We start from the raw sequence: 27,571 nt of genomic DNA on the forward strand, positions 1-27,571 counted from the left end.
CTGTTGATCAATTTGGGGAGAATTGACATCTTAAGAATAGTGAGTCTTTCAATCCATGAGCACTGTATTTCTCATCATTTATTTACAATTTATTTAATTTATCTCAGTTATTATTTGTAGATTTTAGTGTACAGATCTTGCACATATTTTGTTAAATCTATCCCTGGGTATTCTGTCTTTTAATGCTATTGTAAATGGCATTTTTAAAAAGTTTTTATTTCCAAATGTTTGCTTCTAGATTAGAAAAATATAATCAATTTTTGAATATTGATTTTCTATTCTGCAACTCTCCCAAACTCAAATATTAATTTTAATAAGTTCAAAATTTCTTAGTATTTTCAATATACATTATATCATTGTCTACAAGTGACAATAGTTTAATAACAATTATTTAAATATTTAATTAATTCTTTAAGTCTTTCACCATTACGCATAATGTTATGTGTAATTTTTGTGCATATGCTCTTTATCATGAAAAGTAAATTCCTCTGCATTCTGAGATCCCTGTGAGTTTTTTCATGATGAATGTTAATTTTTTGTCAACCACTTTTTCTGCATTTATTAAGATTATCATATGGTTTTTCTTTTTTTACTTGTTGATGTAATGGATTATATTGACTAATTTTCGAATGTTGAGCCAATCTTACATTCCTATCATAAACACAACTTGTTCATGATGTAATGTCTTTTTAATGTATTGTTGGAGTGAATTTGCTTATTTTTTGGTAATGATTTGTGTGTTTATGTTCACAACGTATTGATATGGTTTGGCTGTGTCCCCACCCAAATCTCGTCTTGAATTCTAGTTCCCATAATCCCCACATGACACAGGAGGGACCCAGTGGGAGGTAATTGAATCATGGGGTAATGGTCTTATAAGGGGAGTGATAGTTTTATAAGGGGCTTCCCTCTTTGCTCAGCTCTCATTCTCTCTCCTGCTGCCCTGTTAAGAAGTGCCTTCCACCATGATTGTAAGTTTCTTGAGGCCTCCCCAGCCATGTGGAACTGTGAGTTAATTAAACCTTTTTTCTTTACAAATTACCCAGTCTCAGGTGCTTCTTCATTGCAGTGTGAGAACAGACTAATACAGATATGCTGATCTGTAGGCTTTTTTCTTGTATTTTACCTGCTTTTGATATTTGGGTGTTAATCAAGTTTAGCCTAAAGTTGCCTCCTTACATATTTAACTTCAGCCTAAAGGTTTTTCTGTACATCGTGAACTGTAACAAGTGGAGGTGTAAAACAACTGTAGCCCACACCTGTGCCAACCACTGAGTTCTGGCCAATCAAATGTAACCGACTCTTTGAACCATGTTCAAATAAGGCAAACACCTAGCTGTAACCAATTCAGTTGTTTCTGTATCTCACTTCGGATTTCTGTATGTCATTTCCCTTTTTTTTGTCTATAAAGAGCTAGAGTCTCTCTGAATCTGCCATGATTCTGGGGGCTACCACATTCGTGGATCATTCATTCCTCAATTAAACTCCCTTAAATTTAATTTGGCCGAAGTTTTTCTTTTAACATGGGTAATATTAACTTTTTTAAAGTGAGTCGTCAAGTGTTTCACTCCTTCAATTTTCAGGAAACTATTTGGTAGATTTCACCAGTGAAGCCATGTAGGCTTAAAGATTCTCATGCCATCCCATTTATGTGTGTGTTAGTACAAAAGCTGTTAATTATACATGTACTTTCTGTAATAGATAAAGGAATATTCATGTTATCTATTTCTTCTTGAATGAACTTTGGTCATTTGTATCTTTCAAGGGATTTTTCCATCACATCTAAGTTGTAGAATAAGCAAACAGTTGTCATAGTACTCCTTTATTATCTTATTAATAGCTGTAGGATCAGTAGTGACGTTTTTTATTTTATTCCTGAACTTGGTAATTACATTCTCTCTCTTTTAAAAACAATTATTTATTTATTTAGCTAGAGGTTTATTAATTGCATTAAACTTTTCAGAAACAGCTTTCAGTTTTATTGATTTTTCTGTTTTTCTCTTTTGTATATAATTCATATATTCTTTTATCTATATTATTTCTTTCCTTCCTCTTTTTTAAGTTTAACTTGTTTTATCTTTTTCTAGTTTCTTAAGGTAGAAAATTACAGCATTGATTAGAAAATTTTCTTTTTTCATAATATTAATTTTTCATGCATTCAGTTCCTTTTGAGCACTGCTTTAGCTGCATTTCTACAAAATTTGATGTGTTACATTTTCATTTTCAATCAGTTCAAAATATATTCTAATTTCCAATGTGATTTTTCATTGACCTTTGTGTTATTAGAAGTGTCTTGTTTCATTTTCAACTATTTGGAGATTTTCCTTGTATTTTTCTGTTATTGATTTTTTAGTTAATTGCTTGTGGTCAGAGAATACATTTTGTATTATTCCAGTGCATTTATATTTATTTAGATTTGTTTCATTTTTCAGAATATGGTCTATCCTGAGAAATGTCTATTTGCACTTTAAAAAAATGTGTATTCTGTTGTTGAGAGGCATGTTCTATAAATGTCAGTTAGTTCAAGTTATTTAGTAGTAGTTTCATGTCTTTTATATCTTCACTGATTCTCTACTTTTAGGTCTATTTGGTTTGCTTTATGTATAATAAGTGCTAAATTCATCCAATTATTCTGTAATAACTCTAAGTAATAACTCTTAGCATCAGACCACTATTGGTAAGTGCTATTATTGTCTCCCCTTGGATGGTGAGAAAACATGTGAAAATATTTAATTACTTGCCAAATGACATACAACTCATATGTGGGCTAGCTGGAATTTGGACCTAGGCATTCTGGAATTTATACATGGTAAAATACTAATTGAAATTAGAATGCTAAGTGATATGGTTTGGCTGTGTCCACACAAATCTCATCTTGAATTCCCACATATTATGGGAGGGACCCCATGGGAGGTGATTGAATTACGGGGGTGGGTCTTTCCTGTACTGTTCTTGTGATAGTGAATGAGACTCAGATGATCTGATGGTTTAAAAAAAAAAGGAGTTTCTCTTCACAGAACTCTCTTTTGGCCTGCTGCCATTCACGTTAGATGTGACTTGCTCCTCCTTGCCTCCTGCCATGATTGTGAGGCCTCCCAAGCCATGTGGAACTGTAAGTCCAACTAAACCTCTTTCTTTTGTAAATTGCCCAGTCTCAAGTAGGTCTTTATCACCAGTGTGAAAATGGACTATTACAATAAATTGGTACCGGGAATTAGTGGGGAGTTGCTGAAAAGATACCTGAAAATGTGGAAGCAACTTCGGAACTAGGTAACAGGCAGAGGTTGGAACAGTTTAGAGGCCTCAGAAGAAAGGAAAATGTGGGAAAGTTTGGAACTTCCTAGAGACTTGTTGAATGGCTTTGCCCAAAATTCTGATAGAGACATGAACAATAAGGTCCAGGCTGAGGTGGTCTCAGACAGAGATAAGAAACTTGTTGGGAACTGGAGCAAAGGTGACTCTTGTTATGTTTTAGCAATGAGACTGGTGGCATTTTGCTCCTGCCCTAGAGATTTGTGGAACTTTGAACTTGAGAGGAATGATTTAGGATATCTGGCAGAAGAAATTTCTAAGCAGCAAAGCATTCAAGAGGTGATTTCAGTGCTGTTAAAGGCATTCAGTTTTATAAGAGAAGCAGAGCATAAAAGTTCAGAAAATTTGCAGCTTGATAATGAGATAAAAAAGAAAATCCCATTTTCTGAGGAGAAATGCAAGCCAGCTGCAGAAATTTGCATAACTAATGAAGAGCTGAATATTAATCCCAAAACAATGAGGCAAATGTCTCCAGGGCATGTCAGAGATCTTCACAGCAGCCCCTTCCATTACAGGCACGGAGGTCTAGGAGGAAAAAGTGGTTTTGTGTGCTGGACCATGGGTCCCCATGCTGTGTATAGTCTAGGTACTTGGTGCCCTGCATCCCAGCCACTCCAGCTGTGACTAAAAGGGGCCAAGATATAACTCAGGCTGCTGCTTCAGAGGGTGGAAGCCCCAAGCCTTGGCAGCTTCCACATGGTGTTGAGCCTGCAGGTGCACAGAAGTCAAGAATTGAGGTTTGGGAACCTCTGCCTAGATTTCAGAGGATGTATGGAGACACCTGGATTCCCAGGCAGAAGTTTGCTGCAGAGGTGGAACTCTCATGGAGAAGCCCTGCTAGAGCAGTGCAGAAGGGAAATGTGGGGTCAGAGCCCCCACACAGAGTCCCTACTGGGGCACCACCTAGTGGAGCTGTAAGAAGAGGGCCACCATCCTCCAGAACCCAGAATGGTATATCTGCTGACAGCTTGCACTGTGCACCTGGAAAAGCCTCAGACACAATGCCAGTCCATGAAAGCAGCTGGGAGGGAGGCTGTACCCTGCAAAGCCACAGCGGCAGAGCTGCCCAAGACTATGAGAACCTACCTCTTGCATCAGTGTGACCTGGATGTGAGACATGGAGTCAAAGGAGATAATTTTGGAGCTTTAAGATTTGACTGCCACACTGGATTTCAGACTTGCATTGGGCTTGCAGCCCCTTTGTTTTGGCCAATTTCTCCCATTTGGAATGGCTGTATTTACCCAATACCTGTACCCCCATTGTATCTAAGAAGTAACTAGCTTGCTTTTGATTTTACAGGCTCATAGGCGAAGAGATTTGTCTTGTCTTGGATGAGACTTTAGACTGTGGACTTTTGAGTTAATGCTGAAATGAGTTAAGACTTTGGGGGACTGTTGGGAATGCATGATTGGTTTTGAAATGTGAGGTCATGAGATCTGGGAGAACCCAAGGGCCGAATGATACGGCTTGGCTGTGTCTCCATCCAAATCTCATCTTGAACTCCCACCTGTTGTGGGAGAGACCTGGTGGGACATGACTGAATTATGGGGGCGGGTCTTTCCTGCACTGTTCTTGTAATTGGGAATGAGTCTCACAAGCTCTGATGGATTTTTTTTTAGATGGGAGTTTACCTGCACAAAACTCTTTTTTTGCCTGCTACCATCCACGTTAGATATGACTTGCTCCTCCTTGCCTTCCATCATGATTGTGAGGCCTGCCCAGACATGTGGAACTGTAAGTCCAATTAAACCTCTTTCTTTTCTAAATTGCCCAGTGTTGGGTATGTCTTTATCAGCAGTATGAAAATGGACTAATACACTAAGTGACTACATTTATTATTTACAAGAGAATGAGATAGAGCTGGGAAGCCAATAGTGGATATCACTGTGTGGCAGATTTTGGGTGATTTATTTCTTCTTCCCACAGTTTTTCATTTTAAAAGTGTGCTTCTTAATTTTAGGTGTCACTTTGAATGGATTAAGGGTTGTCTAGAGAACTGGTAAAAGATTACTTCTGGGTGTGTCTGTGAGGGTGTTTCTGAAGGAGACTGGCTTGTGAGTCAGTTAACTGAGTCAGGAAAATCCACCCTCAATACTGGTAGGCACTGTCCAATCAGCTGGGGGCCTGGATAGAACAAAAGGCAATTTCCTCTCTCTGGGACCTGGGATATACTTATCTTCTCTTGCCGTTGGACATCAGAACTCTAGGCTCTCCAGCTTTTGGACTCCAAGACCTACACCAGCAGCCTCTGGCTTTCTCAGGCTTTTGGCCTCAGAGTGGGTGTTATACAATCAGTTTCCCTGGTTCTGAGGCTTTTGAACTTGGACTGAGCTGTGCTACTGGCTTTCCTGGGTCCTCAGATTGCAGAGGGCCTATTGTGAAACTTCTCAACTTTCCAAATAAACCTTTTCTCATTTTTCATTTATCCATCGATTTCATATTGGTTCTGTCTCACTAGAGAACCCTGACTAATACAGTAAGCTTTCTACAATGCCTGTATAAATTTGTTATAGAAAGAAAAAAATTAAATTATTATTTTATTTGCTTGTAGTTAGTAGAATAATGAAAAAGAAGGCAAGTCATTCAACACATGCATTTTTAGTAAATAACTGTTGTGTTTATCTGCCCAATAATTTGCCATAATCTATTTAACCACACTTTCAATTTTATTTTTAGAATGCATCCAAATTTGTTATAAATAATGCTGTGCAAAATAGTATTGCATATAATATTTGACTATATTTCTTATTATCTCTTTAGCATAAATTCCTAGAAGTGTATTACTGGCTCAATTGTACAAACAGGTCTATTTATTTTTAGTTTGTTTGCTTGGCCTTTAGACTGTTTTACATAAAACTTATGTTTCTGTTGAAAAGGAATCCTGTCAAACAAGTTAAGGATTATATTTAGTTTTTTAGGAAGTACTTTATTGAGCCACAGTAGAAGAGAGATACACAGAATAATTTGCTATCTCAAATATAATAATTACATAGTTTTCATAGTTTAAGCTAATACACGTATACAAGGTAGGAAAGGAGAAAAAAATAAAAGAGATTCTAAGATTTCTTTATCTCTTAAACATTTAACTAATAGCTGTGTTTGAGAATGTCATTTTATACAATCACCTAAAATATTTTTTTACAACACATGACATTCACACTGACATAGAATTAGATGAAATTATTTTTAAAGTAGATTTTAAAAATGACTAGTGATCACTCTTATCGTTTAGATTCTTAACAGCAGGTTGACAAGAGGGCTAAGAAACAAGAGGTACAGCACTACTTAGCCTATGCAAACAAGATCCTCTGCTGACAAGGTGTTCAAAATAGTCAAGTCAGAATCATACATTGTATTGCCTTTGAATTAACACTGTGTTCCTGGGATTTCTTCAGATTTTTCCTTAATGTATATAGATTTATTTCTTAAAAAGACACTCATATTTCTAATTTCATATTTATTCTTCTTAGTAAGGAGCATTATATTATCCCGTTTGTTAAAGGGTAGTTGAAGAATTAGCAAAAAACGATTTTCTAATTGTACTATTACCAAAACCAAAGCAGTCAAATTTGGCTGTATATTCTTCTACCTTCCTCCTTCTATTCACTACCTGCCCTCTGCTCTTCAGTAGCTGAAATTTGTTTGTTTTTCACATGACATTTATCTGCATTTGTGAATCTGATGCTACAAGTGAGAAATTTTAAACGTCTATTTTATTTTGTTCATTACAGGTTATTCTTATGATGAAAGATAATGAATCAAAAAAATTCTTTTCATTTAGATTTTTCAGATAATATTGTGAAATATCACCATTGCCTCGATACTTTCGCAGGTTCATTATTGAGGCTAATTCAGTCAAATGTATCATATAAATTGATGTTCTTGTTTAGGACATTGTGGTGAATAAGCTAGTTGTTGGACCATGGCTATTTTAACGAGAAAATCACAACCTTTTTAATACCAAAACTTACTACTGAGGTTTTAATTTTGTTCAACTTTTGTTCAATGCATGTTGGCTGATACAGAAATATATACACACTGATATGGTTTGTCTGTGTCCCCACCCAAATCTCAACTTGAATTTTATCTCCAAGAATTCCCATTTATTTTGAGAGGGACCCAGGGAGGGAGGGAGTTGAATCACGGGGGCTGGTCTTTCCTGTGTTATTCTTGTGATAGTGAATAAGTCTCACAAGATCTGATAGGCTTATCAGCGGTTTCTGCTTTTGCTTCTTCTCATTTTCTCTTGCTGCTGCCATGTAAGAAGTGCCTTTCACCTCCCACCATGATTCTGAGGCTTCCCAGCCATGTGGAATTGTAAGTGCCAATTAAACCTCTTTTTCTTCCCCGTCCTGGGTATGTCTTTATCAGCAGCATGAAAATGGACTAATACACACACATATACACACATTTGAAGATAAACATATATGTAGAAATATGAAGATGCATAGATAGATGTGTATATAAAAATACAAGAATTCAGAAACCACCACATACATTTAATGCATTTATCTATCTATTTCTATGCCCATTTATTTGTGTATATGAGTGTATCTTGATGTACATATAATCATCAAACCGGAACTTGAAATATATACACACATACACCCATATACATACCCATATATAAATATAAATAAAATTGTTTCTGACTTCTTGTATGCCTGAGAATGTATTTTTCTTTGCTTTCAAGCAGAAAGAAAACATGGTAGAAAAAGCTAAGAAAAATCCTTCTCCTGCCCAGTAGATGTTGCCACACTGCCCCCACACTTTCAGTGTTTCAGATAAGAAGCTGAGATTAATTTCTTTTAGAATAACTAAATTTGGTTTTTGAAACTATATAAGCAGTTTCCTTTTTCCTGGTTTTGTCTTTGTAGGACATTGTTTTTTATGGTTATAATACCAAATTCTTCTAGGCTCTAATATAAAAATTTTGCCAGGATAAATATTCTTATTCTTTCACTTTTTTGTTGAAAACTTGATAAGACTGTCAACCTTGTATTACTTTTCTATTGCTGTATAGCAAATTATAAACTTAGCAGCTTAAAGCAACACACAATTATTTGCCCACAGCCTCTGTGGTCCAGGAGTCGAGGCATAGCTTGACTGGGTCCTACCTTAGGGTCTCCACAAAGGATAGGGACCTGGCTGCATTCTCCTCTGGATGCTTGCCTAGGGAGGAATCTGCTTCCAAGCTCATTTGGATTGTGGGCAGAATTCATTTTCTTGCAGCTGTATGCCTGTGTTTTGCTGCCTGTTGGCTGGAGGCTGCCCTCAGTTCCTAGAAGATGCCTGACTCCATGGTCCCTCTGGCAATATGGTAAGTTATGTCTTTAAGCCAGCAAGGAGAATCTCTCTCCATCTGCTAACACAGGGCTTTATAATCTGTAATGTAAGCATTGGAGTAGCATCCCATTATCTTTGCCATGTTCTTTTGGTGAGAAGTGAGTCACAGGTTCTCACCTGTGCCAGCAGGGCATTCCAGGGAAGAGATTTTGGAAGGGTGTATGCATTGGACATCACCTTAGGGCATGTCCACATCAAACCCACTCTCTTTGAGCTCAGAAAATAATTTTCTTTAAGTCTGATTATTGGTTCTTTTTCAAATACTTCATTTTCTTCCTTGGCAACAGTGGTAATTTGTAGTTTTCCTAGGCTGGTATTCTGTATTTGTTAGGACTTTTATGATGCTAGTGACAGAAATTCAGAGCTAACTACCTTAAGCAAAACCTGAAATTTAATGAAAGGGTCCTGGGGTAGTTTAAGGAATACAGGCAAGGCAGAGATCAAAAGAGCAATGGAAAAGTCCAGCAGGTGTCAGGAACAAATGCAAGTGGGAAAGGTCCGTTCTTGGAGTGGCCCTGGTTTCTGACTTCTGCCTTGTTCTAAGTGCTGCTGTTTCTCTCTCTTGCCCCATGCTGCTTACCTTTCTCCCAGTCCAAAGCTAGATAATAGAGGATTAAATGAGTTAGTGCACTAGAGCCATTAGAACAGTGTTGGTGCATGGCAAATGTCGAGCCATTGTAATGTGTTATTATTGGTTTTTTACCATGAATTTTATTATTATTGCATCATGTGTATAATACTGTTGTAGGAGGGGAGAAGCTCCAGTGCTAAACAAGTTTGGAGAACGCTAGAAAGGCTAATCTCAGTTTGTCCCTAGAATTTCAATTTTCTCTTCTTTTCACTAAATTGTATTGCTTTGTCTTTTTCTTGCACATTCTCTAAGATCTCAAATTTTTATTCTGTATCACTGATTCTGCATTCCACTCTATCAATTGTACTATTTTTCATTTCAATGTAGAATTTGAATCTACAATGAACTCCATCTTTCTTTCTCCTGAAACTTTCTTTTCTCATGGTTTCCTCTTCCTTCTCTTGTTTGGAAGAGGAGGTTGTCCCACCAGTTTATTCTTTCCTATGCCTCTTTGCTTTAGTTACGCAGAGACTATACGGTATGTATCCTCCCAAGAATAGAAAACATTTCTCTAAACATTTTTCTGGTTATTATAATAAATATTTTTCAGAGATTTTTCTTCCTGTGAGCTCTTTACCTAAATATTTTTTTCTAAATTCTGTTGTTTTATGATTTTGTGTTGATTCTCTTCTCATCTAATGACCTTTCCAAAACAGATAAGAGATTCTGGCAGCCCCTACCCATATTTCTTCTCCACTCACCTCTCTGGGCAGGGTAGTAACTTCATACTGCAAGCACCTGGGATTCTACCCATAAAGCCTTTCTTTGGCACACTTGGGGACAGGGCAAAAGTGCTGAGGAGTTGGCATTCCTAACAGTAGTCCTCATGGGAATAGCTCAATGATGGAATGAAAGCTTCCCAGTTTCTTAGTCTCTTGGTTGAGACAACTCCAAGACATGGCCTAAGCTCTCTCCCAGGAGTCTGCAGTGGGTCTAAGTGCCTGTTTCTCACAGCAAAACTTGCTTGGTAATGCCCCTTCCTGACTACCTTCCCTTCCTTTTGTTATTTCCTCACTCGCTGATTGAAGCTTCCTGGGATCCCATCCCGTATAAACGCTTGCCCTCCAACCTTGTCTTGGGCTCTTGTAGGGGAACCCATACTAAGTTAAGTCATTGTATTAGTCCATTTTCACACTGCTATAAAGAAATACTTGAGTCTGGGTCATTTATAAAGAAAAGAAGTTTAATTGACTCAGTGGTGGCCGGGCACTGTAGCTCACGCCTGTAATCCCAGCACTTTGGGAAGCCGAGACAGGCGGATCACGAGGTCAGGAGATAGAGACCATCCTGGCTAACACGGTGAAACCCCATCTCTACTAAAAATACAAAAAATTAGCCGGGCGTGGTGGTGGGCGCCTGTAGTCCCAGCTACTCGGGAGGCTGAGGCAGGAGAATGGCGTGAACCTGGGAGGCAGAGCTTGCAGTGAGCCGAGATCACGCCACTGCACTCCAGCCTGGGTGACAGAGCAAGACTTCCTCTCAAAAAAAAAAAAAAAAAAATTGACTCACTGGTGCACTTGGAGTGGAGGCCTCAGGAAACTTGTTACAATCATGATGGAAGATGAAGGGAAGACAGGCAGCTTCTTCACAAGGCAGCAGGAGAGAAAAGAATGAAGGAGGAACTTCTAAACACTTACACAACCATCAGATCTCATAAGAAGTCACTCACTAAAATGAGAAGAGCCTGGGGGAAACCACCCCCATGATCCAATCACCTCTCTTCCTCCACACATGGGGATTACAGATCTTTCCCTCTACAAGTGGGGATTACATTTCAAGAAAAGATTTGGGTGGGGACACAGAGCCAAATCATATCAGTCATCTATCAAAAAATCAGGTGAATTATTTCCTCTTGGGATTAAATCACATTTTGGATTTAGAACTGTAAAGCAAAATGATGCACATGGTTCCTAATTTTAAATATTGTCATTTGGCTTTACATCATGAGGAACAGCATCTTATCTGTCCTCAAGAGATTCACAATCTAATATTTCTGAACATGTGGACCATAGACTAGCTACATCAAAATGACGTGAAAGATGAATTTGGGACCTTATACCACACCTATTTTCTGTTTGTGTTTTCTGAGTCCTTGCTTGTCTGAAAATATTTCACTTCCACATTTTATAGATTTGGCTCAGCATACTACCTTAGGTTGAAAATAATTTATCCTTAGATTATTGAAGGCACTCTTCTATTACCTTCTAGTGTTCAATGTTGCTGAAAAAATGCTAGTCTGATCAGTTTTCTCATTCTAGAAGCTTTTAGGATCTTTCTTTTTTCTTTGGGGTCTTAAAATTTTACAATAATATGTTTAGTGTGATTTTCTTTTTATTCACTGTGCTGGCACTCAGTGGGCCCTTTAGGTTTAGTGTCACAATCCTTTTGTGTCTCTAGATGCTATTTCTTCAATAATTTATTCTTTTTGTCTTATTGAGAATCCTATTATTCTAGGCACTGGAACGTATGTACTGGTTTTCTTTATGCTGTATTGTCTCTTACACATTGTCTCTCTCACTTTCTGATTCTCTGTCTTGCATTCTTTGTTTTTCCCTTCTGTACATTCTGGGGGATTTCTGAGTTTTATTTGCCTTTTTTTTTTTTTTTTTTTTTTTTTTTTGAGACAGAGTCTCACTCTGTCGCCCAGGCTGGAGGGCTGGAGTGCAGTGGCGCGATCTCGGCTCACTGAAACCTCTGCCTCCTGGGTTCAAACAATTCTCCTGCCTCAGCCTCCTGAGTAGCTGGGATTACGAGTGCATGCCACCACACCCAGCTAATTTTTGTATTTTTAGTAGAGATGGGGTTTCACCATGTTGGCCGGGACGGTCTCGATCTCTTGACCTTGTGATCCACCTGTCTCAGCCTTCCAAAGTGCTGGGATTACAGATGTGAGCCACCGCGCCCGGCCTATTTGCCCTGTCTTATACGGAGTTTTTAATTCCAGCAATTCTGCATTTACTGTCTAGGAACTCTTACTCATTCTGAGTATTTCTTTTTTACAGAATCTCGTTCATATTTATTGATATAGTATATTGATGTTTTCTCCATGTTAATTTTTTTTAAAGGTCTCTTCTGCTTCCATTTTATCTAGGATTTACTTTTTTTTCCTGCATGTTGATTTTGGCTTTTCTTCTTTATGCTGCTGTTTCCAAAATTTTTGATTATCCATTTATAGTTCTTAAAAAAGCTTTGTTAACTGGTGTGTATTCATTTTTGTTTATTATATAGTTTGTATTCTCATTGGCCTCATTGGTAGTAATAATTCTTTCAAGAGTCTAGCAATAAGTTGACTTTAGTTTTAAATTGTGGAGAAGTTGTAAGACTATCTGTTTTATCTCTCTGTTTAGAAATTTTTGCAGCAGGCTTGGAGTGGCTGCATAAGCCACTAGCCATGTGCCAATTAAAACTGGAACTGAGTCCTGTGTTTTCCAAATGAAGTTAACAAACTTGGCTCTTAAATTCATAAACTATGTAATGACATTGGCTGTGTATCAGTTCTTGCTCCCAACTTGTGTTAAGTACTCCGGCACTGGTAATTTCCTGGTATATATATTGACCTTCGTTGAAAAAATTCTACCTAACAAATGTGATGAGCTGCTACTTCCAGGCTATTATTTGCACATATTGGGGGATATTTTAAAGCACAGACTTCATGCCAAGTGGTTTTAATCACCTGAAAAGCAAATTATCCTGGGGTAATTTATTAAGTTTTTTTTTTTTTAATGTGTTTTTGTTCTCTGGGATCCTTAAATAGAAAAGAAACTATCCGAGACGGGCTTTTTTAGGCTGGAATACCATGGTGCGCATCTGCCTAATAAAGTTGTTGTTGAAGCCCTTCCTGTTGACTTTTAACCTCAGGGTCTGTGTAAAGCCCCTCATTCATTAAGCAGTTGATTCCATTAGCAGCAGGCTGTGTCTGGGATCCTGGGGACCCTGCACCTGGCCTGCTTTCTTTCTGACAAATCATCTAATTTTATTGATAGCCACCTGGAAAATTGTATTTAGGACAGGGGGCCAGGACACACAGCTCAGAACCCACTCCTCCAAAATGGGCAATGAGAGACAACCCCCTAGAATAGGCATCTCTGCAGCCAGTCCACAGAAATAGGCATTTTTAAAAGATTGGCTCAATACTGCTTTGCCAAGTTCACTCTGCTATTTCTTTCTCTGAGGGGTATTTTAAATGAGGTAAGTTTCTCCTGCAGCTTGCATTTCAGAGGGGGCAAGGCCAGCTCCCAGCCTGCCATCAAAAGTCTTCAATGGCCCTTTTACCAGAGTGCCTTGTCAACTCCTATATGACTGTGTCCCCCAGGCCTCACAAGATGCTTGTGGGGTGGTGCCTGGCAGTTCGGGAATAGCAATGCTTCTGACCCCTGGCAAGCCTTCTTTCTGGCTGCCACATTAGATCAAAAATTGTGTGAGATTATCCCTTCAGGAGGCAGTTCTCCTTTTTCAGTTGTTAGCAGGTGTTGCTGAACAGATTCACACTCTCTGGGGAGATGGGAAGCACATCAGTGTCAGGGGGAGAGATTTGCTCCAGGTTAATGGTGATGATGCCACACCTACACACACTTCGTGTAGTTCCCAGAATTTCATCCGGAGCTCTGAAGCAGTAAAGGCAAAATTGGTGAAAAGTGTTTTCTTCTGGGGCAGAGAGAACAGAAACCTTCTAATTACTACAGAGAAAGGAAGAATCTTTGTCAATTATGTTTCCAGAGATGATGAAAAGCTTGAGGGCACTCTCCAAAGTAGAGTCAGAAAACTTATTGTGAACAGAAAACAAAACAAAACAAAACCCCAGAAGATTGCACATGGTTTTAGAAATGAACTCATGTTTGCCCCTGTTTCTTCAGATTTGAAAAGGATGGAGCTTGAGGTTTCTGTGGCTTTTCTAGCAGCTTAGGTCTTATGAGTTCACGTTCTTAGCAGTCCTTCTAAAGTGGGGATTGACATAGTGAAAGATTGCAATGTTTAAATAGTATCAAGAAATAATAGCTTTTGCATAGATTATGTAGACTTGTTGCTTTCAAGAGAAAGAAATTATCCAAACTAGACCAACTAAAGTATTGCAAAGCACAGCTCCTTGGAACCCTGGAGTAGGGGAAATGACAGTTCATTTGGATTGGGTGACCCAGGCTTAGACTCCTTTCATATTTCCTATTGACTGTGAGATTTTGAACCACTTAGCCATTTAAAGCTATAGTTACCACTATCTCAGTTTGAGAAAAATGTGACTATATTACAGGGTTGTTGATAGAAGTCGAAACAAAACTATAAAACATGGAAGTCACCTTCTCATTTTCCATAGAATAAAATCTAAATTTCTTGCCAGGACTTATGGGAGCCTGCATGCCCTATCCCCTGCTTCCATCTCTAGCTCATCCACTGCTCAGCTCCCCACTCTCCTTGTCTCGGCTGTTTCCCACTGTATTCTCCCAATCTCAGCACAAATCTCTCTTCTTAGAGATGTCTTCCTTTACCATATAGCGCTAAGTAATATAGCGTCCTCCAGCTCTACCCCATGTATTCATTCATTTGACAATATTTATTGAGCATCTACTATGGGCCTGGCATTGTTCTAATAGCTAAGAATATAATACTGAACAATCTCCAGTAGATCCTTGCTTTCATGAAACTCCAATTCTTATGGGATAAACAGATTATAAACAAGCAAACAAAATGATTTTAGAGAGTAACAAGATCTATAAAGAAAAAAACATGAGGGTGGATGGGGCTAGCATATTTTGCGGTGTCAAGGTCACCAGTGAGGAGGTGGCTTTGAACTGAGACCTCTGCTTAAGCCAGAATCTTGAAACAAAAAGGAGATAAGTTCTTTTTAAAAGAAGAATTTCCTATCCCACTCCGTGTTAAAGGAGCAGGTTTTGTGACAAGAATAAACCTGGATAAAAATGTACTTCTGCAAGATAAACTTGAGTTGCCATATCACTCTTTCCCACCAAGTTCTCTGACTTTAGGAGGACAATAAAATTTTCCTTGGAATCTATTGTAACTGCTGGGAGAAAGTACCTACAATAGAGTCCAAATTTATAAGGTTTTACAATGCAACACTTCAAAAGGGAAACTTTTGAAAATCCTGAGTTGGATGTGTGGCTGATGTTTTATTTCACCACGGATAAAGTTGCATTTTTTTATTCCTCCTCTTCCCTCGGTCATCCATGTTTCCAAAACAACCATTATGTGACTGGCTGCAGGGCTCTTCTCACTGGTTGTACGGATAGGCTGTCCATGAAGTCCACAGCTGGCACCATGGCTCATTAGGCATTTATCCAAGGCAGTCATCTCAATTCTGACTGTTTTCAGACCATGGGTCTTTCCACTGTGGCTATTTCTTCCTCTCTCCTCTGATGTTTCACTCTCTCATTGCTTTAACATGTCTTTGGGGAGTTTCTTCTCAGTGTATCTGGGAGAATGTTTTTCTTGAATCCTTACTTAAAGAGAATTATGAACCACTGGGAAAAAGCTCTTCTGTTGATTAGGCTTTTTTTCTCCATTTGGGGGAAATCAAATGACTAAAATATAAATTTGGTTTGAACAGTTCTTAAATATCTTTTTTTTCAACATTGACAGGAATTTTGCTTCTGCATTTTGATTTTGCACATGTAAAAAGTCAACCAGAAAGACTCTTAACAACTAAAAGTAGAAATTACAAAAAGCACTCTAAATACAAACCAGCAAAAATGATGATGATAAAATGTCTTTTGCACGTCTGATCTGTAAACACATCTAATGGCTCACTCAGAGAATGATGATAGTATTATTGCAAGTAACATATTCTTGGAAAGTGAGTCCCAATTCAATTTTTAACTGTCCCAAAGAATTTGGAAAGGTTGTCAAATATGGTTTTTAAAAATGCAACACTCTCATAGACCTGCATTACAATTTGGAGAAAACAGAGAAAGACAGGGTAAGGTATTCATACTTTTACTAATGGATGAGGCATGTATCAAGTCAAAGAAATGATCACATATTTCACACAAGGTATAACATGAGCTGCTCCAGAATAGTGGTAGGTTTCAAGATGATTCTGCCTAGTATCCTGTTGTTCAGGATCAAGAGAGTTCAGCAGCAAATTTTTCTAGATACCTTCATCTTCTGAGTGGTCCGTTAGATGGCCAGCTTTCCATCTTGAGTTAGTTTAGCTAGAGCCTCAAAGACACATCACTTCAAATGAGACAGTCACATCAGATGAACTGCTGGGATGAGACCATCCTGATTGAAGGCAACTGAAAGAACAGCTAGATAATGACTCAGAATGCACAAAGTTCCTTTGAACTTTGGTCTGATTCTTTCGGCAAGAAAGCTCACTGTTTTTCAATGCCATCTTTTCCTGCCTTAGTGGCTTCTTTTCTCCACCCCTCTCCATTCTACATCATCATCATAACTAGACATTGAGAGGTAAGGGAAATTAGCGCTACCAGAATACAAGGAAATATGTCTCCCTTATAAGGATGTCAACTGCACTTCATAGTGGCATGTCTGGTCTTTGTTTCTGATTCTAAATTGGAACACTAACATTTAGCTGTTTAGGGTGAGGGGAGCTGAGCAGGAAGAGGACTTCAGTTATAAATCAAGGAATTCAGTGAGAACCTAAATGCAAAACAACAATACACATTCTGCTAGTTCAAAAACTGGTACTACTGCATAAAGAAGTTAGTAACATGATTATACTTAAGAGTGGAAACACATTTTTCTCATCGCTATGAGCATATCACTTTGTAATGTGATGCTGCTGCTTCTCCCTTTAAAAGGTGAAGTTGATTTCTTTAGTCCTTGAATTTGAGATTGTTCATGCAACTTGCTTTTAGCAAATGTGATGGAAGCAGAGGTGTACTGTGGCTTTTTCTCTCTCTAGCTGACACAGAACAGAGACAAATTATCCTATCTGAGACTTCCTAGACCAGAGATTAGCAAACTTTTTCTGTAAAGGGTGAGATGATAAATATTTTAGTCTTTGCAGGACATATGATCTTTGTCATAACTACTCTGTTCAACAAATGAGCATGATTGTGTTCCAACATTAAAAAAATAAATAAAAACATGTATGGTCCATGAGCTGTAGCCTACAAATTCCTGCTCCACACCAGTCCACCTGCCAAACACCAGCCAAACCTCCAGATGAATGCAGATGTCAATAGGCAAAGATAAGATCTGGCACAGACTGGAAGAACCACCCAAATGATACCTGACTCATAACTTTGGGTGGTTTATTACTCGGAGAAAACAAATGATAGATATCTTCTCTTAGAACTCATATGTTCATTTGTTTATAAACTCAAGTACCAAGTAAAATGAATCCTTTTTGATGCATCAAAGGATATTGGTTCATGAAACTACAGAGTACAAGTCAAAGACAAAAAGAGAAAGAAATAAGCCTCTCCAGAATGGCTGCAGCCCAATTTCTGTTTTTCTAAGAACTTAACAGTCACCAAGCCACAAATTCAAATGGAGAGAAGACTTGAAATATGGGTGTATATAAAACATTTTCATGAACCCCATGGTGGCAGCATCTTGGGTTTTGATAAGTTTAAAATAATTACAAATAAAAGGCCCATTGTTTATGATATTTTCACAAAGTATAGGGTCCCCAGTGATACCAGGTAAAAACTAATATTGTGTGAGAAAATGGGCAGAGACGGCTTTGGAATCCATAGCCATGTGCTTGCATAATAAAATAAAAGTGGGAATTCGATTCATTTGACTCAAATTATTTAGCCACACTTCTGATGGTAATATTGCTATTTGGTATGTCATTTCTCTTCCTTGAAATTCTTAACTGTCACTTTAAAAACCTGACTGTTTATTATTACATGTCATTCTTCAAGTCCAGAACTATCACCAAAGGAGACATATAAGACATTCTTTTAATGCCAGGATTTACTATAAATCACAATTTCTTCTTCTTTCTGGAAAAAGAAAGGGGTAGAAGACAAAGATGACAGGGGGCACCTGTTCTTAGTTACATATGATTTGAGACTCAAGTTAATAGCATGAAATATATTCATACAGTGAACTTCTGCAAATGTGAAATTTCTGTGCTTCAAATCGAAATTCATTATCAATGGAAAGGTTTAAAACCAGAGAAAATGACTGGGGAAAACTGCTTGAAAATATAAAAGGCTTCAAAAGCAAGAGAAATACAAGATTAAACTAAAAAGAATGACCTGGTATTTAGTTGGTTCAGTAAGATTTTATATGCATAGAATCTTCATAATTATGAATGTACAAAGGAAATTGTGATAGGAAAATGTAAAGGCTGAAATTATATACATATTCAAACAAAATAATGATAGTATTTATGAGAGACATAAACTATGTAGGTTCAAATTTATGTTGGAACTAGGCATAGGACTTCCCCAACTGTCACCATATATATAAAATTTTTAAACTCTTGTTCAAATTCACGTCACTGCAATTCTGACATGAAAACTTGTACCAAAAACAAACAAAAATCTTCCTTTGAAGTAATTTGCAAATGATCTAATTAAATAAATGAAGTAAAGTTGAAATGGAGCAATTTTCTTACTTTTAAGTTTATTCACACAGTAATGAGAGTCAGGTTAACACCTGCCAACCCTGCCGCCTTTCAGGTGCAGACATTTATCAAATTTGACTTGAGAAATCAAGGAAGGCCATTTGCTTGAGGAACTGGTTTCCTGAAGAAACAGAAGAGTTAATTACTAGAGGCGGTGGTGGGGGGAAGAGCATCTCAGGCTCAGGAAACAGCATGTGCAAAAGCCAGTCTTGTGATAAGAGGGAGAATTGTGCACGTGATGAATTAAAAGGAGTGTGCCGCCATTCAGTCGTTCACTAAGATCATAGAGTCGTAGGCTGGAACGGGCCCTTGGGATGCCCTAGTTCAATCTATTCATTTTACAGGTGAGGAAACAGACTCAGAGGGGTTAAGTGACTTGGCCAAGGTGACACTGCTAATGAGTGGTGGAGCTGGGATCAGAGCCCAGGGCTTCTAATTGCCCTTTTAATGCTTTTCCACCACACCATGCTGATTCTTTGTATCGGCGCTAATGAGTAGATCAAGATGCTGCAAAATTAGCATAATAATTATTTGTATATAAATACTGCATTTAAAATACTGCTGTATAACATAGCTTATCCTTCATGACCCACACCTACAAGCTGTCAAGGTATGACTCAGAAATAAATAATTAACAATTGGCTTTTCATCATTAAATGGTGCAGATCAACACCCAAGCTTGAGACTTCTATGTATTAACACAAACCCTATATTAGTGCATTCTAGATTAATGACATTTTATATATTGATTTATTTCTTTATTTAATAACCATAGTGCTGTTTTCTAAGCATTGTACTGGGACTAAAATGGTCTCATTTCAGGAAAACAAGATCCAGTTGCTTCTTTCAAGTTTATAATTCAGTAATTCTACTTATGCTTTACTCCTTTTCTCTTTGCATCTGAAAGCTGATATAAGTCTTTTGAGGTACAGCCTGGCACAAAAAGGATGAGATTTGTGGGCAGAATTTTGGAAGAATATCTCCCGAGAGAACATTCAGGACAGGTAACTTCTTAGATGAGAATGTTTTAGGGGTGGAGGGGATGAGGGTGGGTGGATGGGAGGAGATTGCAGTTGTTACTTAATTAGACCTCGGTTAGGTCTTCCAATTGAAATTACCTGGTGTTCTCTTATGACAGATTGCACTGCTTTGGAGAGCTGGTGATGAAATCCGGCCATTGAATTACACTGCACTATAAACTTCATTTGTTCTTGGGTGCATAGTGATTTGCTATAATAATGATCATCCATTTGCCAGACAGCTGAGATTTTTTAAAAGCTTGATTGCTTTTGGCATGGCATTATTAGTCCTGGAAGAAGGCAGCACATTTGTAGCAATTCTCAGCTTGAGCAAACTAGAATATTCACCTCCCACAAATGCTGGCCATTTAAGATCTGTGTGTTAGACTTTGGCATTTTTTCTAGCAATTCTACAACAGCATACACACTTTTATTTTTCATTAACACCATTGTGAATATGCCCATCTCTAAAATTTCAAGGGGGTTCACTTAAGCTACTGAGTTTTATGGACAGAAGGGCCAAGAAAAGTCCCCAAAGAAGAGTGCATGCTGTCAATTGCCAATTATTTTTTTTTCTAATGAAAGCCAAACAATTCCAGACAAACCCTTTTCTAAGAAATGAACTACATATCTGGATCCAAATAAATACTCATCTGATAAGAATCTAAAAGCTCTACTGAATTACAGTGGATGAGAACATGATGATGGTGATTCTTTGAAGATTACTGAGGAAATCAACTCTCATGTCTGATTCTGATACTTTTATAGTCCATCCATGTTGAAAATGTCTATGGAATGATTCTGTTGTACCTTGAGAAATGAAATTCATAGGCATGGATTCTCTCACACAGCAACTTTATACACAAAGATGAGAATAGAAGAAAGGTCATTTCCAAAGAAAGTGACATTTATTCTGTATTCACTGAAAAGCCAAAAGAATTTTCTCATTCACCCATACCGACAGAGCCCTACATCTCCCCGAGAAGAGGTGAAAGAGACTGCTCCTATCTGCTTCTGCATCAAACTTCAGGCTCAAGACCTGTCCAGAAAAAAAAATGTCTTCTTTCAGGGATGAACTGCTGTCCTCATCAGACGCCTTATTTTGTTTAGAATTCAAGCTCACTTGACAGGTATTCTATACTTTTTTCAATACAACTAAGCTAATGCCCACCTCCTTTCTGAATTGATTTCATCCCAGTATTACCCTTCATAGCTTTCTCTTATAGAGTAAGACAATAGCTGAACAGATTTACATATACATGTGTAAGTATCTAGATTGTATACAGGTGTGTGTCTAATATATGATACATGGAATATAGGTACACATATGTATGTGTGTATGTGTTTATGTATGTATATCACGAAAAGTTACAATAGTTTCAAAAGGAACATAGGCAGGCATCAATTACTGAGGTTATTGGAGGCCACAACCAAAGTCAAATCAACGTATCCTTCCCAAACCTCATATTAGCCAACAACACCATAATATCTTTTCCCAAAGTCCTTGCTAACCAGACTGCCAGAACGGAGTTTGAAATAGCAAATGTGGCAGAGAAATCAAGCAGTTTTTAAGCAGTGGCTTTACATAAATTTGAATCACAGTTCCATCCATTCCCAGGGTCCTACTGAGGGCAAGGAGTGCAGGTGCTGTAGCAGAGAAAGGGAGAATACTGGTAGGATGGAAAGGTTTTCTGGCTTTCTTGCTTGCCTTAAGTCAGAGCTTTGTGGCCTCCATCACACATAATGAATAATTAAGAGTTTATTGTCTTTTGCTCAGTTGAAACTGATTGTGTTGGAAGATTGCATTGCAGAATGGTTAATGACACAGATTTTGAAGATAAATCATGGCTATGCCACCTACTAGTTTTGGAATCTTGAGTAAAGTCCTTAGCCTGTTCGTGCTTCTGAATCTTCACATGCAAAATAAATTTCATTTATTTTAGGTTATTGTGAAGATTAAATGAATTAATACATGTGAAGCAACTGTAACAACTCTTGACATGCGGTAAGCACTGTAAATTGTGAACCATTTAGGAATGCCCCATTGGAGATAATTTAGGTCACTCAGAAATTGTAAATTTTGAAAGGTGAAAGACCGTGTTGTTCAAGTTAGGGCTGAACTGGAACTGTAAATCTGATGGTTGAATAATAAACAGAGTAATTATTGAAGAATTAACAGCAACTCTTATGGTATTACATTTAAGACTTGAACCTTACTCAAACTACTTTTAAAGACTTTAATGTTTAAGGGCTATAAATGTCAGAGCTCACTAATTTCTTTGGCTTTCAATAAATGCCAGTGACTTTGAGAATTGCTATCTCTTTAGCTTATCTGGCAAGAAGAGCACAAGCTTAAAGGGTACGCAAGAGGGCCCTGATGACCCACTCTCTTCCCAGTGGAAAATGCAGGCTTTTGAAGTTAATCAGCCTCTGGGGCCCAAGTCCTTCTAGGGAACTTTTGTGTAGAGTCACTTGAGCTAGGTGCTGAATGAGGTTCCTAAGGTCAGATAAGACACAGCCCCTCTGTTAAAGAATGCCTACTCACTAAGGGAAATATGTTAACAAAGACATATAAATTACTCTAGAATCCTTGAGAATAAGATAATTTTATCTAATAAAATGTTTCAAATAACCAAAGCTTTTCCTATTTGGGTCTGCAAAAAAGCGACTTAAATATTTCAAATGGAAATCTTTTAAATAGAACTTGAACACACTTGACCAGAGACTCTGGAGAAGAATTTTGCCTTTACTTAATAATGCAAGATCATCATTATGGACATCAATTATTGAACTGTGCTATAGTATAGGGGGCTACTGAGGTATGAAGGACTGTTTGCCCCTGTCCTAAATAACCCCAGATGAACATCCTTTTTACAGCTCTTCTGTTTCTTTCTTTTTTAGATAGGCAGTTAGCTTTCTTTAAATAACACAGCCTTTTCTCTTCTCTTAGTGGGCTGGACTTCCAGAAGAAACGTTGTCAGAACTCTGCCCAACTGAAAACAAGCCTACTAAAAATAAATAAATAAATAAAATTTTAAAAAATTGATTAATTAAAAGTATTTTCTTGAGCACCTCCCATGTATTAACAATCTCTGCATTCACCATTACCACCTAGTACTCTAACAATTTTTGCAACATAAAGGAAGTGACTGGGCTCAAAGTCTTTCCTTATGTGACCTAGATCAGTGCTTCTCTAAGTGTTGTATACCTAAGAAGCACAAGAAGAGCCTGGTGAAACAATTTCCTGGGACTCATCTCCAGAGACTGATTCAGTAGGTTTGAGGTAGAGCCCACACATTTCCATTTCTAACAAGCTCCCAGGTGACGCTAATGGTGGTGCTCACTGAATAAAGTTTCCTGGATGATATATTAAGTGATAGATGGAATGCCATCCAATGACTAATGTCAGAGTGCACTATTTTTGTGAAATCACACTGTTTTGAATATGTTGACATAAATTTTTTCTAGTCAGACATACATTTTCTCATTTAGGAGTCTGAATTATTATGCTCTTAGTAGCTACATTTTGTGGATAAGTCGGTAGCTCCAGACTCAGCGATGTTGCTTACATAACTGGTTCCTAAGCTGTCTATGCATATATAGGTATTTATTTCATTTTGGTAAATGTTGGTCAGGTATTGTTATAAGTGCTGTTGATGAATACATCAGGAAACAAGATGTGCAAATTCTTCTTCCTGGTGGAGCTTGCGTTATGTAAGAGGGAGTCAGATAAAACAACTGAAGTAAATAACAAAACATGATAATTTCAGAAAATGATAAGGGATGTGACGAACTTAAAAAAGACTGGCAGGATAGAGAATGATGACATGAAGAAGGCACTCTGGATTGGGTGGACAGGAGAGACCTCTTGGATGGGGTGGTATTTGAGCTGGTACCTTAGTGTCGTGAAGGAACCAGGTCATTGAAAACTCGGCAAGTGAATCCCTTCTGATACAATGAAAAGCTCCTGAGCTGGGGAATTAGTTTATTTAGAGGGAGAAAAAAGCCCATTGAGTTTGTGGTCTGCCTTGGTCACCAGGGAACAGTGTAGGACACCTGGACAGAGTCAGAAAGATGACATAACATAGTTGAAAAACTCTTATTTCATCCCATTGCTGCATGGTGGCAAGGAAGAAAAATAAAACCTTGAAGGTCAGGCGCAGTGGCTCACGCCTGTAATCCCAGCACTTCGGGAGGCCAAGGCGGGCGGATCATCTGAGGTTGGGAGTTCGAGACCAGTCTGACCAACATGGAGAAACCCAGTCTCTACTAAAAATACATAATTAGCTAGGCATGGTGGTGCATGCCTGTAATCCCCGCTACTCAGGAAGGCTGAGGCAGGAGAATCGCTTGAACCCGGGAGGCGGAGGTTGCAGTGAGCTGAGATCGCACCACTGCACTCCAGCCTGGGCAACAAGAGCGAAACTCGGTCTCAAAAAAATAAAAAATAAAACCATGAATGTGAGAGGAGTATCCAAGAAATTGAGAGAAGGACTTTGAGAAGGGCTGAGTAATAAGTGAGGATCTAAAGAGAGACAAGGGTGTCCTTTGATGGTGTGGGTGTGAAGGAGATGGCTTGAAAAGACTTTTGAGGAAAACAAGCTTCTATGGTGGCCTGAGCCATACACGGAAAGAATTAGTTATATTAGATAGTAAAGTCTGTTTATGATCAGCACTTATTAATACTTAGAGGCCTGGCAATAGGTAAGGGCGGTAAGATGGCCTGGAATTTAGTTTAAATTTAGTTTAAATATGCATACATATTTAAACAGTGATTAACTATAGCCATGAATTAAAATCACCTGATGCTGAAAACGACCGCTGCCTGAACCGCATTCCAGATGAATTAAATTGGTATCTGTGGATAGTTGGGCCTAGGGTGATATGCGTAGTTCTGATGCGCACAATACTCCCAGCTGAGAATCATTACCCTAGAGCAGGTGTTAGCAACATTGACTGCACATTAGAATCACTTGGTTAAGCATCAAAAAATAACCCATGCCCAGGCCTCAACTTTGATCAGTTAAATCAGAATCTCTGGGGGAAGGGGACCTGAACCTTGGTATTTAAAAAACAAACAAACAAAAACACCGCCCCCCCCACCCCACCCTTGCCAGAGTTTCTCAGGTGATTCTAATGTGCTGCTAGGGAGAAACCCTGCCTGGGGCTGCCAAGATAGATGAAACAAGGTCTCTGTCTTCCGAGTTTACACTGTAATAGGAAAGACGTGAATAAATGCAGGGCAGTGAGCCACTCTTTGTAACATTAAAAATAAAAAGTGGAGGAGCATTAGAGGAGAGAGGGAGTTATTTTGTAACTGAGGGATGGAGCAGGGTGGCCAACTCATCCAGGCTTGTTGGGAATTTTTCTGGTTTTAGAACTGAAATTGTAAGTTCTAGGAAACCTCTCAGTCTCATGCAAACCAGAGTGATTGGTCACTCTAGTTGGTGGTATGAGTTTCTGATGGGAGTTTTGAATGGTAAAGGGCCTACCAAGTGGGCTGTATGGAAGTGCAGGGGAAGGTCGAGATGGATCCATTTCAGGCAGCGACGACGACTTGCAAAAAGGTCTGCATGGATCAGGGCTTGGAAGCACAAGGAGCTTAGTTCTCTGGTGTGAAGGCTGTGAAGTGGGGTCGGAAGATGAGTCTGGAGAGGTAGCTCTAGGTCATGAATGGACTTTCTTATATGTCCGGAAGCTTTGTGTTTCATCCTGAGGGCATCATGGGAGTCATTGATAATGTTGAAGCAGGTGGTAGGAGAACATAGTTGTGCTCTTCCCTGAATTTGGCTGTTCATTTTAAAAAGATCCCTGGAGGAGGCTCTGGGGTCAGATGCTTATTTCCTTCCAGCACCATGGACTCATTCTGGGACCAACTCATTTAACCCCTCTCTATATGCCAGACTCATTAGGGAAACACAGGGGTCACAGTTTTCCCAGGGCAACATTCAGATGAAAGCAGTTTTTATCTCTTGTGAGAATTCTTTGGATGAAACAGCTTAGGAAGTTGCCCAGTATTCAGACATCAGATTTTGTGAGGCTCTGAAGCCCATCTGGGCTTTGCCACACAACCCTAACAAGTTCATCAAGTTGAGTCTCGCGACAGCAACTCTAAAGAACAGAGCTTGTCCTCTAACCCAGATGATGTGGAGATTAATGAAGTTTAGTTTGAAAGAGTTTTGCACTCTTGGAGGGAATTTCTCACATAGATGTTTCTGCTATTGTAGAAATAATAGTGGCATCACAGCCAAATAAAACATAACTAATTTTCCCAAGTCAGTGTGTTTCCTTGCTGGAAAAGACCACACCAATGACAATCCCATTTTAATAGTTGAAGTATTCTGATGCAACATTAACCTTTGGTGGATTATAACATTTTGATATCACTATTTCATCAACATTTTTCTAATCCCTCTCCATACACTAATCCATTTAATTGAATGGGTCTTAGATAACATTTCATGTTAACTTTTACCTCATCTTCCTCACTCTCCCCTAATTTTAAAAGAAACAAAGAAACAGCCTACCGAGTCTGATATGGTTTAGCTGTGTAACTATCCAAATCTCATCTTGAATTGTTGTTCCCATAATCCCCATGTGTGGTGGAAGGGGCCCAGCTGGAGGTAATTGAATCATGGGGGTCAGGTTTTTCCTGTGCTGTTCTCGCGATGGTGAATAAGTCTCAAGAGATCTGATGGTTTTATAAAGGGCAGTTCCCCCACACACGCTCTTTTCCCTGCTTCCAGGGAAGGTGTGCCTTTGCTCCTCCTTCGCATTCTGCCATGATTATGAGGCTTCCCCAGCCATGTGAAACCGTGAGTCCATTAAAACTCTTTTTCTTTACAAATCATCCAGTCTTGGGCATGTCTTTATTAGCAGTGTGAGAATGAGTCAATGCAGAGTCCTTAGTTCACAACATCACAAAGAACAAAAAGAGGAATAATAAAAATAAGTAAACAATAAAAATAAACCACAAACATTAGTCCCTGAAAGTGATGTATCTACATAAAGTATGTGGAATGTGTCAGTATGGGAGATTTGCCTCTTCTCTCCCATTTATTCATTTAGTCAACCATTTACTTACATTAATTTGGACACCTGGATATTCATTTTATACTTTGGATTATAATCCAATACTATATTATTTATTTTCTTGCCCAGAATATTCCATATTGTTCAATGAGGGAGCTTTTTCAGTTGCTTCTTGTGTGCCTTTGACCTGCTCCATTCTTTTGTTTTTTGAATCCTTACTTACTGGCCTAACAAGGTGTTCCAGGCACATTTGTATATTCCCTGTGCCAGCCCTAGAATTAGCCCACTTCTTAAGCTGGAGAAGGGCATTAGAAAACAAAATCAGGGTGCTGGCATGTCACCTTTGTTTTTGAGAGTTGTCCTTAGGCTGAAAATATGACAATTTTGTCTGTATCTGGAATGCTGAGTTACTGTTAACTCTGCTTTGCAAATTTTACTGAAAGCAAATTCTCTTTAGCTTTTTGGATGCATGCAGTACCATCCTTAAATTCAGCTATAAAACTTACACACTGTTTTCAGGAGCTACCAGTCATGTGTTTGAGATTTGATTTTGACTTTGTAGTTCTTCGTCCTATTCTTCATGTTCTGGTGGATTTTCCAGAGTTTCCTATGTATGCCTTGCTCTGTTTTTGGTTTGTCCTATAAGCCACTCGGCACTTCCTTCTCACACCTGAGCT

General features: G+C 38.4%; 1 long non-coding RNA gene across 4 annotated transcripts in view; it reads left to right on the top strand.

The window, feature by feature from the left end:
• LOC105374524 (uncharacterized) overlaps positions 1-27,571 on the top strand; it is a 507,306-nt gene that overhangs the window by 103,038 nt on the left and 376,697 nt on the right. The window contains exons 5-8 of one of the 4 annotated variants that reach the window (XR_007058432.1): positions 19,751-19,847; positions 19,982-20,992; positions 21,806-21,867; positions 22,813-22,908. This is a non-coding gene — a long non-coding RNA (uncharacterized LOC105374524). Of the gene's footprint in view, positions 1-19,750; positions 19,848-19,981; positions 20,993-21,805; positions 21,868-22,812; positions 22,909-27,571 lie in introns of those variants that run through there. The other 3 variants (XR_007058433.1, XR_007058434.1, XR_007058437.1) reach the window with 3 other exon arrangements.

The sequence above is a fragment of the Homo sapiens genome, chromosome 4 (assembly GCF_000001405.40).
Source record: "Homo sapiens chromosome 4, GRCh38.p14 Primary Assembly".
NCBI lineage: Eukaryota > Metazoa > Chordata > Mammalia > Primates > Hominidae > Homo > Homo sapiens.